The sequence below is a fragment of the Homo sapiens genome, chromosome 2, assembly GCF_000001405.40.
Source record: "Homo sapiens chromosome 2, GRCh38.p14 Primary Assembly".
Lineage (NCBI taxonomy): Eukaryota > Metazoa > Chordata > Mammalia > Primates > Hominidae > Homo > Homo sapiens.
This window is the reverse complement of record NC_000002.12, coordinates 188,551,141-188,568,493: the sequence shown is the minus strand read 5'-3', so window position 1 is coordinate 188,568,493 and position 17,353 is coordinate 188,551,141. Positions and strand designations below refer to the sequence as shown.

The following is a 17,353-nucleotide window of genomic DNA, read 5'->3' as shown; positions in this document are numbered from 1 at the left end:
TCTATTGATTTGAAACTGCCACAAATATATCTTACATCCACAAGCTCATTTCTTCTCCATTCATATCTCCACTGAATTCATAATGTCTTGCACATAGTAAAGACTAAAGATTTATTTACTTAATCAACATTATAAAGAATTTTGGTAAAGGCATCAATAAGATTTAATGTTGTCACAATTATGTCATATTTAGTAAGACCTCCAGATAACAAGAAGACTAGTAGTAATATATATTGAAAATGCTATGCTTTAACTCTACTACAAATTCTAATAATTTATTATCTACTGTGATCAACATAAAATGAAAACATGCTTTGTTAATCATCTTATATCATTTAATAGAATTTTTATAGTTCATTATTTAAGGAGGGTTTTAGACAAAAATATAGTATTTAACCTAGTTAACTAAAAAATGCAAAATATGTACATAATATTTTAAAGGAAGACTGTTTTACAAAAGAAAAGAAAAAAGACAAGAAAGTAAACAACGAGCTATAATAAAAACTACCAAATAAATGAAAATGACAGATACCAATGTATGCATGTTCATTGACTTAAACTAATTGGTTGTGTTAGATATTAAGATTATTTGTAATATTAAAGAAGTGGTTTTGATAGATTGTGGGATTATGAATAATTTGTTTTCTGTTTCTCATTTCAAAACTTTGGGTAATAGGTTTCTGTTTATTTTACAATAAAAAGACGTTTTTCTTCTTCTTTTTAAAAATTTCTTCCAAAACAAAATGGGATACATGTGCAGAATGTGCAGGTTAGTTATACAGTATACGTGTGCCATGGTGGTTTGCTGCACCTATTGACCCATCCTCTAAGTTCCCTCCCCTCGCCTCCCACCCCCTAATGGGTCCTGGTGTGTGTTGTTCCCCTCTCTGTGTCCATGTGTTCTCATTGTTCAACTCCCACTTCTGGGTGAGAACATGTGGTGTTTGGTTTTCTGTTCCTGTGTTAGTTTGCTAAGGATGATAGCTTCCAGCTTCATCCATGTCCCTGCAAAGGACATTATCTCATTCCTTTTTATGGCTGCAGAGTATTCCATGGGATATGGGATATATGTACCACCTTTTCTTTATCCAATCTATCATTGATGGGCATTTGGGTTGGTTCCAAGTCTTTGCTATTGGAAATAGTGCTGCAATAAACATACGCGTGCATTTGTCTTTATAGTAGCATGATTTGTATTCCTTTGGGTATATACCCAGTAATGAGATCTCTGGGTCAAATGGTAGTTCTAGTTCTAGATCCTTGAGGAATCGCCACACTGTCTTCCACAATAACTGAACTAATTTACATCCCCACCAACAGTGTAAAAACATTTATATTTCTCCACAGCCTTGCCAGCATCTATTTTTTCCTGACTTTTTAATAATCACCCTTCTGACTGGTGTGAGATGGTACCTCATTGTGGTTTTGATTTGCATTTCTCTGATGATCAGTGATGTTGAGTTTTTTTTTCATATGCTTCTTGGCTGCATAAATGTCTTCTTTTGAGAAGTGTCTCTTCATATCCTTTGCCCGCTTTGTGATGGGGTTGTTTTTTTCTTATAAATAAGTTTAAGTTCCTTGCAAATTCTGGATATTAGACCTTTGTCAGATGGTTGGATTTTTAATTATAGGTTGCTTCCCTTCTAAATTATGATTTCGATGTATCCTTCCCCTTTTTTTTTTTTTTTTTTTTTTTTTTGAGATGGAGTCTCACTCAGCTACCCAGGCTGGAGTGCAGTGGCGCAATCTCAGCTCACTGCAACCTCCACTCCCGAGTTCAAGAGATTCTCCTGTCTCAGCTTCCTGAGTAGCTGGGACTACAGGCACGCACCACCACACCCAGCTAATTTTTTTTATTTTTATAGAGACTGGGTTTCACCACGTTAGCCAGGCTGGTCTTGAACTCCTGACCACAGGTGATCCACCCGCCTTGGCCTCCCAAAGTGTCGATGTATCCTTTTAACGAGACATTATGTTATCTTTAAATACTCAATTTGTACATTATAAAGAATCATTTAAATGGTAACATTATTAATTATTCATTAATGACATTTGGCCTCATATTATTTATTTATATTAATAACTTTAAAAAACCATGTTCTCATTTTATAATAACATCTTTACTAGGCACTTAGCTGTCTAGTAAATATTCTGCATATATTATCTTACTTGATTCTCATCATGGCTCTGAAGTAAGGATTATTATTACCCCACAATACATATGATGAAACTGCAATTTTGTAAAGTTGTATAACTTGCCTAAAGCTAGTGAATGGAGAAACTGAATTTAAATCCAGATTTCTGACTCTCCAACCATCACATTTTTGGAGGTGGGGGGTAAAATTTATATACAATGAAATGCACAGATCATGATAAATTTATGAATCATATAAGATATATAATCTCCAACTTATTAAAAATAAAGAATATTTCTAGCCCACCAGAATGTCTCTTATGCCTACTTTCAGTCAAATCTCATCTATTATGGGTGACGATTCTTCAATTTTTATCATTATAAATCAGTTTTGCCTGTCCTTGATATCTATAAAAATAGACTAATATGTATTATTTTGTGTCTGTATTCTTCTACTAAATTAAAGTTTCTGAGTTTCATACGTGTTGTACTTATCAATAACACATTGGTTTTGTTGCTGATTAGCATTTCATGTTACAAATATACCACAAGTGATTTATCCATTGTACTATGGATGGACATTCATGGTTTTGTCAGTTCTTAGTTATTAGACATGAAACTACCACAAACATTCTTCTAAGATCTTTTTGTAGACATATGTTTTCTTGTCTCTTGGTAAATATCTAGAATGTAACTGTTAAATCATGGGAGGTTTAACATTATAAGAAACTGTGCAACTGTTTTCCAAAGTAATAATATAATTTTGCATTTCCACCAGCAGTTAAGAGAGTTCTCATTATGTCACATTCTCAGAAACAAGATATTGACAGTCTTTTTCATTTGAGACAATATATTGGATGAGTGATGCTATAGTAATGTGTTTTAAATTTATATTTCCCTGTTGAATAATAATATTGCTCAGTTTCGTGTGTTCATTGCCTCTTTTATGTTCTCTTTAATAAACTAACTCCCTGTAGAAGTCTACTGCCCACTTTTATTAGGTGTTTTGTCTTTTTATTTGTGATTTTTAGGAGTTTTTTATATAGTCTGGATACAGATCCTTTTTCAGATACACGTATTGGGAATATAGCCACTTGCTTTTTCAGTTTGCTGATAGTGTTTATAGATTAACAGAAAATGTTTTATTTTTGATAAAGTCCATTGTATCCTTTTTTTGTTCATGTGTAGTGCTTTTGGGGTCATTTCCAGGAAATCACTATCCATCCAAAGTTCATAATGACATTCTATGTTTTTTAATGAAAGTTACGTATAAGATTACAAAAGCTTCTACTTTTATGTCTATGATCCACCTCAAATAGTTTTATGTAGCGTAAGTAGGAGATAATTTTCATAATTTTTTCCCATATATTTAGCTAGTTATTTCAAAACCATTTGTCAAAAAGACTTTCTTTTTTCCATTGAATTTTTTGTCACATTTGTGGGAAAAAAAATTAACCATGTATGTATGGATATTTCTAAACTCTACAATACAGTTCATTTATTATTATTACATTAATATCACCCTGACTTGATAAGAGTTTAAGGTAAGTTCTGACATCAGGTATGCTTGCCCAGATTTTGGTCTTCTCTCTCAAAATTAATTTGTTTTTGTTCTAGGTAATTTACATTACCTTATTAGAAATAACTTTTCAGTTTTTACTAACAATCCCATTGTGATTTTAATCAGAATTGTATTGAATCCATGGATCGATCAATTTGGTAGAATTAACCACAATTAAACTGAGCCTTCCAATCTATAAACATGGTATCTTTCTCCCATTATTTTAGGTCTTTTTTACTTACATCAATACTTTGAAGATTTCAGTATAGAGGGCTTGCATATTTTTAAAATTCTCATTATTTCATGTTTCCTGATGCTACGGTAAATACATTTTTCTTTCTTTCTTTTTGCTAGTAGACAGACACAATTTAATTTTGTACATTGATTTGTAAGCTTTGTTTTTGCTAAATTTGTTTCATAAATCTAGTGGTTGTAGATCTCAGCAATTTTTATGTAAAAAAGTTGATATTATATATGTGAAAAAAGACAATTTTTTCCTATTTCTTTCCAATCCTTGTGCCCTTCCTCTCCATCTATTCACTAGCTAAGGCACCTAATACCACGTTAAATAGGTAGTAAGAATGGACATCCTTGCATTGTTCCCAGTCTTAGAAGGAAAGCATTCAATAATTTACCATTAATTATGATGTTACCTGTAGAACTTTTAAAGTTTTTATCAGAAAAACAATGTCTCTTCTATTCCTAGCATGCTATAAATTTTATCAGCAATGGGTTAAATTTTGTCTAGTGGCTTTTCTGTACTTGCTGAAACTACTGTGTTATTATTCTGTTAAGATGTTGTATTACGTTGATTGATTTTTCTTATGTTAAACCAAACTTGAATTCCTGGGATAAACCTCACCTGGTAATAATGTACTATCTATTTTATATATTGCTGGACTCGATTTGGAATTATTTTGCAAAAGAGTGTTAAGTCTATGTCATAAGAAACACTGGAACATAATTTTCATTTTTTGTAAGGTCTTTGTCATGTTTTCAATCAGGGTAACACAGTCTTCATAAAATGATTTGGAACTGTAACTTTATTCTCTTAATTCTGAAAAGGTTTATGTATAATTGGTATTTTAAAAAGAAATGTTTTACAGATTTTAATAGTGAAACTATCTGAGCTTGGTATTTCACTTGTCAAAAAGTTTTGTCAAATATTTGGGCCAAATATTTAATTCCAAATATGTGGGCCAAATATTTAGTTCCGAATCTTTTTTAAAAATATAAAAAAAAGATAAAAAAAATATAATTTTTTAAAAATATAAATATAAATTACATTTATAAATTAATTTATATTAAATATTTGTATGTAATTTTATATATTCAGATTTTCTACTTCTTTTCTGTCAATTTGGTAAATTGAGTTTCAAGATATTTATCAATTTATATTATTTACCAAATTTACTGGTATAATAGTTATATAATATTTATCTTTGTATCCTTTTAAAGAATATAGGATCTGCAGCTACATCCACTATTTCTAGTATTGGCAATTTGTGTTTTCTGTCACTTTTGTCCTTGATGAAGTTTTTAGAGATTGCTAATTTCATTCTTAATGAAGCACCAATATTTGGCCTTGTTAATTTTCTTTATTGTTTGTCCAATTTCAATGTCATTGATTCTACTGTAGTGTTTCTTAACCTTCCACTTTAATTTTGATTTGTTTTTCTTGTTTTCATTTAACTTTATGTCAGGACTAAAATGATTAATTTTAACTTTTCTATCTTTTCTTACATAAAGATTGAAAGCTATGAATTTGCCTCTCAGCAGCTTTACAAATTTTGATACATTGTATTTTACTGTTCTTCAGTTAAAGAATAATTTAATTCCCCTGTAACTTTTCTTTTAGCTATAGTTATATAAAGGGTGTTTTAATTCTAAATATTTGTACAAAATATTTAACTCTAAATATGTGGGCCAAATATTTAGTTCCATATATTTGTAGTTAGACAATATATGCTGTGATATTTTCAGTTTTGAAACTTATTGAGTCTCCCATTATGGCCCAGCATATAGTATACCTCTGTAAACATTCCATGTGCATTCAAAAGGAAAGTATACTCTGTTGCTTGGGATAGCATTCTATTCACGTCTATTAAAGTGGTGGATGATATTGGGTTTTGGGGGTTTTTTTTGGTACTTTTATTGACTTTTTTTCTACTTGTTCTGTCAATTGCTGAGAAAACTATTAAAATGTACAACTATAATTGTAGATTTGCCTTTTTGCCAAATAAAACTGTTAGATTTTGTTTCATTTTTTAATAAATTAATGTCATTTCATAAATACATCTTGGCACTTTAATCACATTTTGAATATATAATCCAAGAGCAAAGACCAGAATTCAACAGAAAAGTGACAGGAAACACCAAAAGCAAGGAAGGAAGAAGACAGGCAGCCTGTTTGGTTGAGATCAGCTGGGAGCCAGGAGTGACTTTCCATACATGGGAAAAGGGTGAGTGAGAGACTTCCAGCAGCCCTCATCTGCATCATGGAATCATGCAACCCTGGTCAAGGGACAGCCCCTCAATGCTCCCAACTCCTGAAACTAAAATATGGAGCTGTTCGTAGACCATGTGATAGAACTGCTCCCAGGAGGGAGCTTGCACTAGGTCCCACATCATTTCTGAGACCCAAGCAGCTACAGCAAGATGCCAGTTTGAATCCTAGCCTTGAGCAGATTGCACACTGTCCTGGGGCCCAGAAGTGCTGAGGCTGAGGCATTAGGGAAACTTGGGCTGTTGCTGCTGGGACTAGGACATGACCTGGGAATAAGCTCCCACGGGTGGGGCTGAGAAACAAGCAAGGCATTGGCTGTAGCTGCCGGGTAGAATACAAGTGCCACTGAGACTGAGAATGGGATGTGACTGGGTGCAAGTTGCCACTGAAACTTAGTCACAAGCTGAGTAGGGGCTCCTGTAGCGGGGGCTGAGGTACAACCTAGGCAAGGACTACCACTGCCAGGGCTGAAGGCAAGTGCAACAGGACTGGGCCATGAGAATGATGTGCATTCCCCACTCCCCAGCCCAAGATGTGGCTACCAAGGCCAACGCCAACCTCTGCAATGCTGGGGCCTCAGCGTGGCTACTACTGCCCCTCACTCATGCATTCTGCCAGGGACCTGAGAATTGCCCTGCCCCTGCCCACTACAGCTAGTGACTACTGTCACCACTGGGAGATCTGAGCACAAGCCTGCCCAGCACAGACCCCAGGACTTAGCCCAGGATCATGTGGATTACCCAACCCAATCCACCACATTGGGCACTTGAGTGCACCTCCCAGAGGCATGAGGTTGGCCCTAAACTCTAAACTCCTGGCTGCTATTACCTTAACTGGCACCTGAGGGCCTGAAGACTGGCTCACCCAGCCCATCATAGCCACTGCCCACATCAACATACAGTACCTGGGATGCAGATAATTTTCCTGTCACTGATACTACCATAACCCATACCACAGTGCCTGCTTAGGGGACCAAGAACTTGTCCACCTGCTCAGTCCACTGTGCCCATGACTGGCATCCAAGCAAGCCAACTAGAAGCCCAAGAATTGGTCCACTGGTAACCACCAATACCACTGCCAGCATATATCAGCCTAGGGAATAAAGATAGGCATGATCAGCCCACTGTTGCCACGACTGGGGCTTAAACAGTGACATGCTTAACGTCCCAGTCCCCAGCACAAATCCACCACAACCTCCCCTAATATCTGCAAACTAACCCTCCAAGGAAATGGCAGATCTCACTAATGCTGTTTATAGCTGATATGGTTTGGACCTGTGTCCCCATAAAATCTCATATTAAATTGTAATCTCCAGTATTAGAGGTGGGACCTGGTGGGAGGTGATTGGATCATGGGGGTGAATTTCTCATAAATGGTTTAGCACCATCTGTTTGGTGCTGTTCTCATAATAGTGAGTAGGTTCTCAAATTAGTGAGTAGGTTCTCATGAGATCTGGTCACTTAAAAGTATGGAGCACCTCCTCATTACCCTCCATCCTGCTCCTGCCATGTAAGCCATGGCTGCACCTGCTTTGCCTTCTGTCATGATTGTGTTTCTTGAGGTATCAGCAGAAGCAGTGTAGAGGCCAGCATCATGCTTCCTGTACAGCCTGTAGAATTGTGAACCAATTAAACTTCTCTCTTTATAAATTACCCAGTCTTAGGTATATCTTTATAGCAATGTGAGAACATACTAATACAGAAAACTGGTACTGAGGACTGGGGCATTGCTATAAAACTATCTGAAAATGTGGAAGTGACTTTGGAACTGGGTAACAGGCAGAGGTTGGAAGACTTTAAAGGGCTCAGAAGATGGGAAAATGAGGGAAAGTTTGGAATTTGCTAGAGACTGGTTAAATGGTTATGACCAAAATGCCAATAGTGATGTAGACAGTGAAGTCCAATGTGAGGAGGTCTGAGATATAAATGATGAACTTATTGGGAACTGGAGGAAGGTCACTTTTATTATGCCTTAGCAAATAACTTAGCTGCATTGTGCCCCTGCCCTAGGTGGAACTTTGAACTTGAGAATGATGATTTAGGGTATCTGGAGGAAGAAATTTCTAAGCAACAAAGCATTCAAGGTTTCATCTGGCTGCTTCTAACAAGCTATACTCATATGCATAAGCAAAGAAATTACCTAAGGTTGGAACTTACATTTAAAGGGAAAGTACAGCATAAAAGTTTAGAAAATTTGCAGCCTCACTGTATTAGTCCACTTTCACGCTGCTGATAAAGACATACCCAAGACTGGGAAGAAAAAGAGGTTTAATACGACTTACAGTTCAACATGGCTGGGGAGGCCTCAGAATCACGGCAGGAAGCAAAAGGCACTTCTTACGTGGCAGTGACCAGACAAAATGAGGAAGATGCAAAAGTGAAAACCCCTGATAAAACTATCAGATCTCATGAGACTTATTCACTACCATGAGAACAGCATGTGGGAAACCGCCCTGATGATTTAAATTATCTCCACCAGGTCCCTTCCACAAAATGTGGCAATTATGGGAGCTGCAATTCAAGATGAGATTTGGGTGGGGACACAGAGCCAAACCATATCATTCCACCCCTGGCCTCTCCAAATCTCATGTCCTCACATTTCAAAGCCAATCATGCCTTTCCAACAGTCCCCCAAAGCCTTAACTCAGTTAAGCATTAACCCAAAAGTCCACAGTTCAAAGTCTCATCTGAGACAAGGCTAGTCTCTTCTGCCTATGAGCCTGTAAAATCAAAAGCAAGTGGGCCTCTTCTCACAGCTCCCCTAGGCAGTGCCCCAGTGGGGACTCTGTATGGGGGCTCTGACCCCACATTTCCCTTCCGCACTGCCCTAGCAGAGGTTCTCCATGAGTGCCCCACCCCTGCGGCATAGTTCTGCCTGGGCATCCAGGAGTTTCCATACATCTTCTGAAATCTAGGTAGAGGTTCTCAAACCCCAATTATTGACTTCTGTGGAGGTCCAAAACGACGTGGATGCTGCCAAGGCTTGGGGCTTGCACTCTCTGAAACCATAGCCTGAGCTCTACCCTGGCCCATTTTAGCCATGGCTGGAGTAACTGGGATGCAGGGCACCAACTCCCTAGGGTACACACAGCACAGGGACCCTGGGCCAGGCCCAGAAAACCATTTTCTCCTAGGCCTCGGGGCCTGTGATGGGAGGGACTGCTGTGAAGACCTCTGACATGCCCTGGAGACATTTTCCCCATTGTCTTGGGGATTAACATTCGGCTCCTCATTACCTATGCAAATTTCTGTAGCTGCTCTTGAATTTCTCCTCAAAAAATGGGTTTTTCTTTTCTATCACATTGTCAGGCTGCACATTTTCTGAACTTTTATGCTCTGCTTCCCTTATAAAACTGAATGCCTTTAACAGCACCCAAGTCACTTCTTGAATGCTTTGGTGCTTAGAAATTTCTTCTGCCAGATACCCTAAATTATCTCTCTCAAGTTCAAACTTCCACAAATCTCTAGTGCAGGAGCAAAATGCTGCCAGTCTCTTTGTTAAAACATAACAAGAGTTACCTCTGCTTCAGTTCCCAATAAGTTCCTCATCTCCATCTGAGACCACCTCAACCTGGACCTTATTGTCCATATCACATTCAGGCTTTTGGTCAAAGCCATTCAACAAGTCTCCAGGAAGTCCTAAACTTTCCCACATTTCCCTGTCTTCTTCTGAGCCCTCCAAACTGTTCCACCCTCTGCCTGTTACCCAGTTCCAAAGCCACTTCCACATTTTTGGGTATGTTTTCAGCAACACCGCACTCTACTGGTACCAATTTACACTATTAGTCTGTTTTCATGCTGCTGATAAAGACATACCTGAGACTGGGAAGAAAAAGAGGTTTAATTGGACTTACAGTTCCCCATGGCTGTGGAGGCCTCAGAATCATGGCAGGAGGCGAAAAGCACTTCTTACGTGGCAGTGGCAAGAGAAAATGAGAAAGATGCAAAAGCGGAAACCCCTGATAAAACCATCAGATCTCATGAGACTTATTCACTACCATGAGAATAGTATGGGGGAAACTGCCCCCATGATTCAAATGATCTCCCACTGGGTTCCGTCCACAACATATGGGTATTATGGGAGTACAATTCAAGATGAGATTTAGGTGGGGACACAGAGCCAAACCGTATCACTGGCCATGTGGTAGAAAAGAGGAGCCCATTTTCAGGGGAGGAATTCAAGCAGGCTGCAGAAATTTTCACAAGTGAAAAGGAGCCAAGCACTAACAGCCAAGACAATGGGGGAAAGGCCCTGAAGTAATTTCAGAGACCTTTGCAGCATACCCTCCCATTGCAGGCTTCCTAGGAGGGAAGAATGGTTTCATGGGCCAGGCCCATGGCCCCACTGCCCTGAACAGCTTCACAACACTACTCCCTGCTTCCCAGCCACACCATTTCCAACTATGGCTCAAAGAGGCCCAGGTACAGCACAGGTCACTGCTTCAGAGGGTGCAAGTCATAAGCTTTGGCAGTTTCCACATGGTGTTAAGCCTGCAGATACACAGAATGTAAGAAGCGAGCCTTGCTGCAAGATTGGAGCCCTCATTAGACACCCCACACAGACTCCCCATTGGGGGACTGCCTAGTGAAGCTGTGAGAAAAGGGCCACCATTTTCCAGACCCCAGAATGGTGGATCCACTGAGAGTTTGCACCCTGTGCCTGAAAAGCCACAAGCACTTAACGCCAGCACGTGAGAGTAGCCATTAGGGCTGAACCTTAATGGCAAAGCCACAGGGGCAGAGTTGCCCAAGACCTTGGGAGCCCACCTCTCAAACCAGTGTGCCCTGGATATGGGACATGGAGTCAAAGAAGATTCTTTTGGAGCTTTAAAATGTAATGACTGCCCTGCTGGATTTTGGGATTGTGTGAGGCCTGTATCTCCTTTCTTTTGGCCAATTTCTCCCTTTTGGAATGGGAATGTTTACCCAGTACTTGTACTCCCATTGTATGTTGGAATTAATTAACTTGCTTTGGATTTTGCAGTCTCATAAGTGAAAGGGACTTCCCTTGTCTCAGATGAGATTTTGGACTTTGGACTTTGGGGTTAATGCCAAAACAAGTTAAGACTTTGGGGACTGCTGGAAAGGTATGATTGTATTTTGCAATGTGAAAAGGATATGAGATTTGGGGGACCAGAGGCAGAAAGATATGTTTTGGATCTGTGTTCCTATCAAATCGCATGTCAAACTGTAATCTCCAATGTTGGAGATGGAGCCTGGTGGTAGGTGATTGGAACATGGTGGTAGATTTCTTTTCTTTTTTTTTTTTTGAGACAGAGTCTTGCTCTGTCACCCAGGCTGGAGTGCAGTGGCACGATCTAGGCTCACTGCAAGCTCCGCCTCCCAGGTTCACACCATTCTCCTGCCTCAGCCTCCTGAGTAGCTGGGACTACAGGCACCCGCCACCACACATGGCTAATTTTTTGTCTTTTTTAGTAGAGACGGGGTTTCACCGTGGTCTCGATCTCCTGACCTCGTGATCCACCCGCCTCGGCCTCCCAAAGTGCTGGGATTACAGGCGTGAGCCACCGTGCCCAGCAACGTGGTAGTAGATTTCTAATGAGTGGTTTAGCAACATCCTCCCCACAAAAAGTAAATTCAAAAACAGGAAGAAGTGACTTTTATACAAATGTGCAGATATCAACATAAGGACACAGGAAACAAAAAAATCAAACAAATATGACACCTTGAAAGAAACATAATAATTCTCCAGTAAATTAAGATCTCCAGTAGATCTTAATAAAAAAGAAATTCCCAAAATCCCAGATAAAGAATTGAAGATACTGATTTGAAAGAAGCTCAGTGAAATACAAAAGAAATCTGAAAAACAATAAAAAGAAATCAGAAAAACAAATCAGTATATGAATGAGAAAAATACTGAAGAGATAGATATGTTTTAGAAGAACGAAAGAGAAATTCTAGAACTTAAGGACTCATTGAGGAGTAACATAATGATATCTTCGATAATAGACTAGATCAAGTGGAAGAAAAAAATATCTCAAATCTTTAAAGACAGATCTTTTGAAATAATTCAGTCGGACAAATATAAAGATAAAAATAGTAGAAAAGAATGAGGAAAGCCTTCACGACATTTATGACACCTTAAAATTACTGAAAATTCAAATTATCAGTGTTCCCAAGGGTGAAGAAAGCATAAAAGGATTAGAAAACCCATTTCATGAAATAGTCAATGAAAACCTTCTTTTTTTTTCTTTTTCTTTTTCTTTTTTTTTTTTGAGACAGAGTCTCACTCTGTCACCCAGGATGGGCTGCAGTGGTGCAATCTTAGCTCACTGCAACCTCTGTCTCCCGGGTTCAAGCAATTCTTCTGCCTCAGCCTCCCAAGTAGCTGGGATTACAGGTGTGTGCCACCATGCCTGGCTAATTTTTGATTTTCAGTAGAGATGGGGTTTCATCATATTGGCCAGGCTGGTCTCAAACTCCTGACCTCATTATCCACCTTTCCTGGCCTTCCAAAGTGCTGAGATTACAGGTATAAGCCACCACACCCAGCCTAGATGAAAACTCTCTAAGTCTAGCAGGAGATATAAATATCCACTTACTGAAAGATCAATGATCCCTAAGCAGATACAAAACGAAAAGGCAGTCACCATCGCACATTATACTCAGACTATCTAAAGTCAAAGATAAAGAATTATAAAAACAGCAAGAGGAAAGCGTCTAGTCACCTGTAAAGGAAATTGTATCAGCCTAACAATGAATTTCTCAGCAAAAGCATTTACAGACTAGAAGAGAATGGGCTAAAATATTCAAAGTGCTAAAAGAAAAAAAGAAGAACATGATATCCAGTAATATTCTCCTTTCTAAATGAAGAAGAAATAAAGTCTTTCTCAGACAAGTAAATACTGAGGGAATTTGTTACCACTAGACTGGTCTTATATGAATTGTTCAAGGAAGTCTTAAACCTGGAAACAAATGGACAAGATTTACTATCAGGAAAACACAAGAAAGTATAAAACTCATTGGTAAAGAAATAACACAAGGGAAAAAGATAAAAGACTCAAAGTGTACCACTACAGACATCTACCAAAACAACAAAGATGAACAATAACAGAAGAAAGTCATATATAAAACAACCAGAAAACAATTAACAATATGACAGGAACAAAGCCTTACCTAGCAATAATAACACTGACTGTAAATGGATTAAGTTTTCTACATAAATATATAGTATGAATGAATTGATTTTTTAAATGATCCAAATATATGCTCCCTTCTAGAAACTCACCTTACCAGTATAGGCACATATAGACTAAAAGTAAAGAGACAGAAAAAGATATTCTACACAGATGAAAACCAAAAGCAAGCAGAAATAGCTGTACTTAGATAAAATAGGCTTTAAGCCAAAAACAGTTCTAAAAAGATGGAAAAGGTCATTATATAATGATAAAGGAATATATCCAGTGAGACGATATAACAATTTTAAAAAATCTAAGTATATATGCACCCAATATTGGAGCACAAAGATCCATAAAGTAAATATTTCTAGATCTAAAGAGATAGACTGCAATACAATAATAGTGGGGGAGCCCAAAACCCCATTGTCAGTACTAGATAGATCATCTAGACAGATAACAAAAACCTCCAAATTTAAACTGTACTACAGACCAAATTGACCTAATACACATTTATAGAATATTCTATCCAAAAACTGCAGAAGATACATTCTTTTCATTAGCACATAGAACATTCCCCAGTATAGCCCATATATTAGGCCACAAAACAAGTCTCAACAAATTAGAAAAAAAAAAAAGATAATAATTTCTACTATCCCCTCAGACCACAATGGAATAAAAATAAATCAATACTAATAAGAACTTTGGAAAATATACAAATACATGAAAATTAAACAACATGCTCCTGAATGACCTTTGGGTTGACAAAGAAATTAAGATGGAAATAAAAAAAAATTCTTGAAACAAATGGAAACATAAACTAAAACCTGTGAGACACAGTAAAAGCAGTGCTAAGAGGAACGTTTATAGCAATAAATTCCTGTATCAAAAAATTCCTGTAGAAAGATAACATGTTAACAACTTAACAATATACCTTAAGGAACTAGGAAAGTAAGAACAAACCAACCCAAAATTAACATTATAAAATAAATAAAAAAGATCAGAGCAGAACTAAATGAAATAGAGACTAAAAAAATACACAAGATCAAACAAACAAAAAATTGGTTCTTTGAAATAAGTAAAATTGAGAAATCATTAAGTAGACTAACCAAGAAGAGAGAATATCTAAATAAACTAAATCAGAATGAAAAAGGAAATGTAACAACTGATCACAGAAATACAAAGATCCCCAAAGACTATTATAAAAACTATATGCTGACAAACTGAACAATCTGAACAATCTAGAGTAAATGGGTAAGTTTCTGGAAACATGCAACCTAACAAAAGTGAATCAGGAAGAAATAGAAAACCTGGCAGGCCAATATGAGTAGCAATATTGAATCAGTAATAAAAACTGTCTCAACAAAGAAAAGCTCGGGACTAGATGGATTCACAATAAAATTCTACCAAATATGCAAATAACTAATACCAATCCTGAAACTATTCCAAAACATTGAAGAACAGGGTTCTTCTTAACTCATTCTATAAGGCCAAGATCACCTTGATAACAAAACCAGATAAGGATACAACAACAACAAAAACAAAACTACTGGTCAATATTCCTGATGAACATAGACACAAAATGCTCCACAAAATGCTAGTTAACTCAACAGCACACAAAAATATAATACACCATGATTGAGTGGGATTTATACCAGAGATGCGTGGATGGTTCAACATATACAAATCAGTAAAGGTGGTAACTCAAATTAATGGAATGAAGGACAAAAAATAATCATCTCAATAGACACAGAAAAAGAATTTGATAAAGTTCAACATTCCTTCATGATAACAATCTCTCAACAAACCAGGCACAGAAGAAACATACCATAAAATAACAAATCCACACTTAATGTCACACTGAAGGAAGAAATGTTGAAAGCCTTTCCTCTACGAACTGGAACAAGACAAGAATGCCCACCTTCATCACTCCTATTCAACACGGTACTGGAAGTCCACCCAGGGCAATCAAACAAGAAAGAAATAAAAGCATCCAAATTGGAAAACAGGAAGTCAAATTATCCCTCTTTGCTGATATGATCTTATATCTAGAAAAACCTAATTGCTCCATAAAAAAACTCTTAGATTTGATAAATGAATTTAGTAAGATGGAGGATTCAAAATTAATGTACAAAAATCAGGAGCATTTCTGTATACCAATGATGTAGCTGAGAAGGAAAGCAAGAAGGCAATCTCATTTACAATAGCGCAATAAGTATACACATGCATATATATACGTATATATATAGAGAGAGATAAACACATATATGTATATACATATATAGGAATAAATATATATATATATGAATAAATTTAACCAAGGAGGTAAAAGTTCTCTATAAGGAGAGAACTATTTATTGACTGATAAAAGAAATAGTCAATGACACAAACAAATAGAAAAATATCCTATATTCATGGATCATAAGAAATAATATCATTTAAATGACTACCATCCAAAGCAACCTGTAGATTCAATGCAATGCCTATCAAAATACTGACATCATTCATCACAGAATAAGAAACGGCAAACTTAAAGCAATTCTGAGCAAAAAGAGCCAAGCTGGAGGCATCACATTACCCGACTTCAAAATATACAAGGTAACAGTAACCAAAGCAGTATGGTATTGGTATAAAAACAGACACACAGAATAATGGAATAGAATAAAGAACTCAGAAATAAAACCACTTATTTACAGTCAACTGAGGTTTGACAAAGCCAAAAAGAAGTTACACTGGAGAAAGAACATCCTCTTCAATTAATGGTGCTGGGAAAATTGAATTGAATAGAATGAAACTGGACCCCTATCACCATATATAAAAATCAACTCAAAGTGGCCTAAAAACTTAAATGTAATATCTGGAACTGTAAAAATATTAAAAGAAAATCTAAGGAAAACTACTGAACATTGGGCTAGGCAGAGAATTTATGACTAAGATCTCAAAAGTACTGGCAACACAAACAAAAATGGACAAATGGTACTTAATTACACTAAAAAGCATCTACACAGAAAAATAAATAATCAACAGAATGAAGAAACAACTTTTGAATTGGAGAAAATATTTTCGGATTATTCATCTGACAGAGGACTAACTTCCAGAATATACAAGGAACTCAAACAACTTAGAAAAAAAAAATGTTCCCATTTAAAAAAAAATGGGAAAGAACATGAATAGACATTTCCCGGAGGAAGACACACATTCAGCCAGCAAGTATATTAAAACATGCTCAATATTATAATCATCACAGAATGCAAACCAAAACCACAATGTTATCATCTTAACCCAGTCAGAATGGCTATTGTCAAAAAGACAAAAGATAACAGAGGTTGGCGAGGATGTGGAGAAAAAGGAACTTTTATGCACTATTGGTGGAAATGTAAACTACTAAAGCTACTACGGAAAACAGTATGAAGATTTCAAAAAAAAACCTGCAAATATACTTATCATTTGATCTAGCAGCTCCACTACTGGGTATCCATCCAAATGAAAAGAAATCAATATATCAAAGGGATTCCTGCACTGAGATGTTTATTTCAGCACTATTCACAATAGCAAACATATGGAATCAACCTAAATGTCCGCCAATGGATAAATGGATGAAGAAAATGTGGTGTATATATGCATAATGAAATATTATTTGGCCATAAAAGTAATGATATCATATCATTTGCAGCAACATGGATGGAACTGGAGGTCATTATCTTAAGTGAAATAAATAAGGCACAAAAAGACAAATATTGCATGCTCTTATTTACATGTGAAAGCAAAGTATTTCATCACATGGAGGTAGAGAGTAGAAAGATGGATAACAGAGCCTGAGAAGAATAAATGGGGAAAGGAGGATGAAGAGAAGTGGGTTAATGGGTACAAACATACAGTTAGAGAGAAGGAATAAATTCAATGTTTGATAGTAGAGTAAGGTGACTATAGTTAATATAAATGTATTGTACTCAGGTGATGCCCTCCCTAAATGCCTTGACTTGATCACTACATATTATATCCATGTAACAATGTTTC

General features: G+C 36.8%; 1 protein-coding gene across 69 annotated transcripts in view; it reads right to left on the bottom strand.

Moving 5' to 3' along the window:
* GULP1 (GULP PTB domain containing engulfment adaptor 1) overlaps positions 1 to 17,353 on the bottom strand; it is a 304,053-nt gene that overhangs the window by 27,433 nt on the left and 259,267 nt on the right. The gene's annotated exons all lie outside the window — the stretch shown is intronic.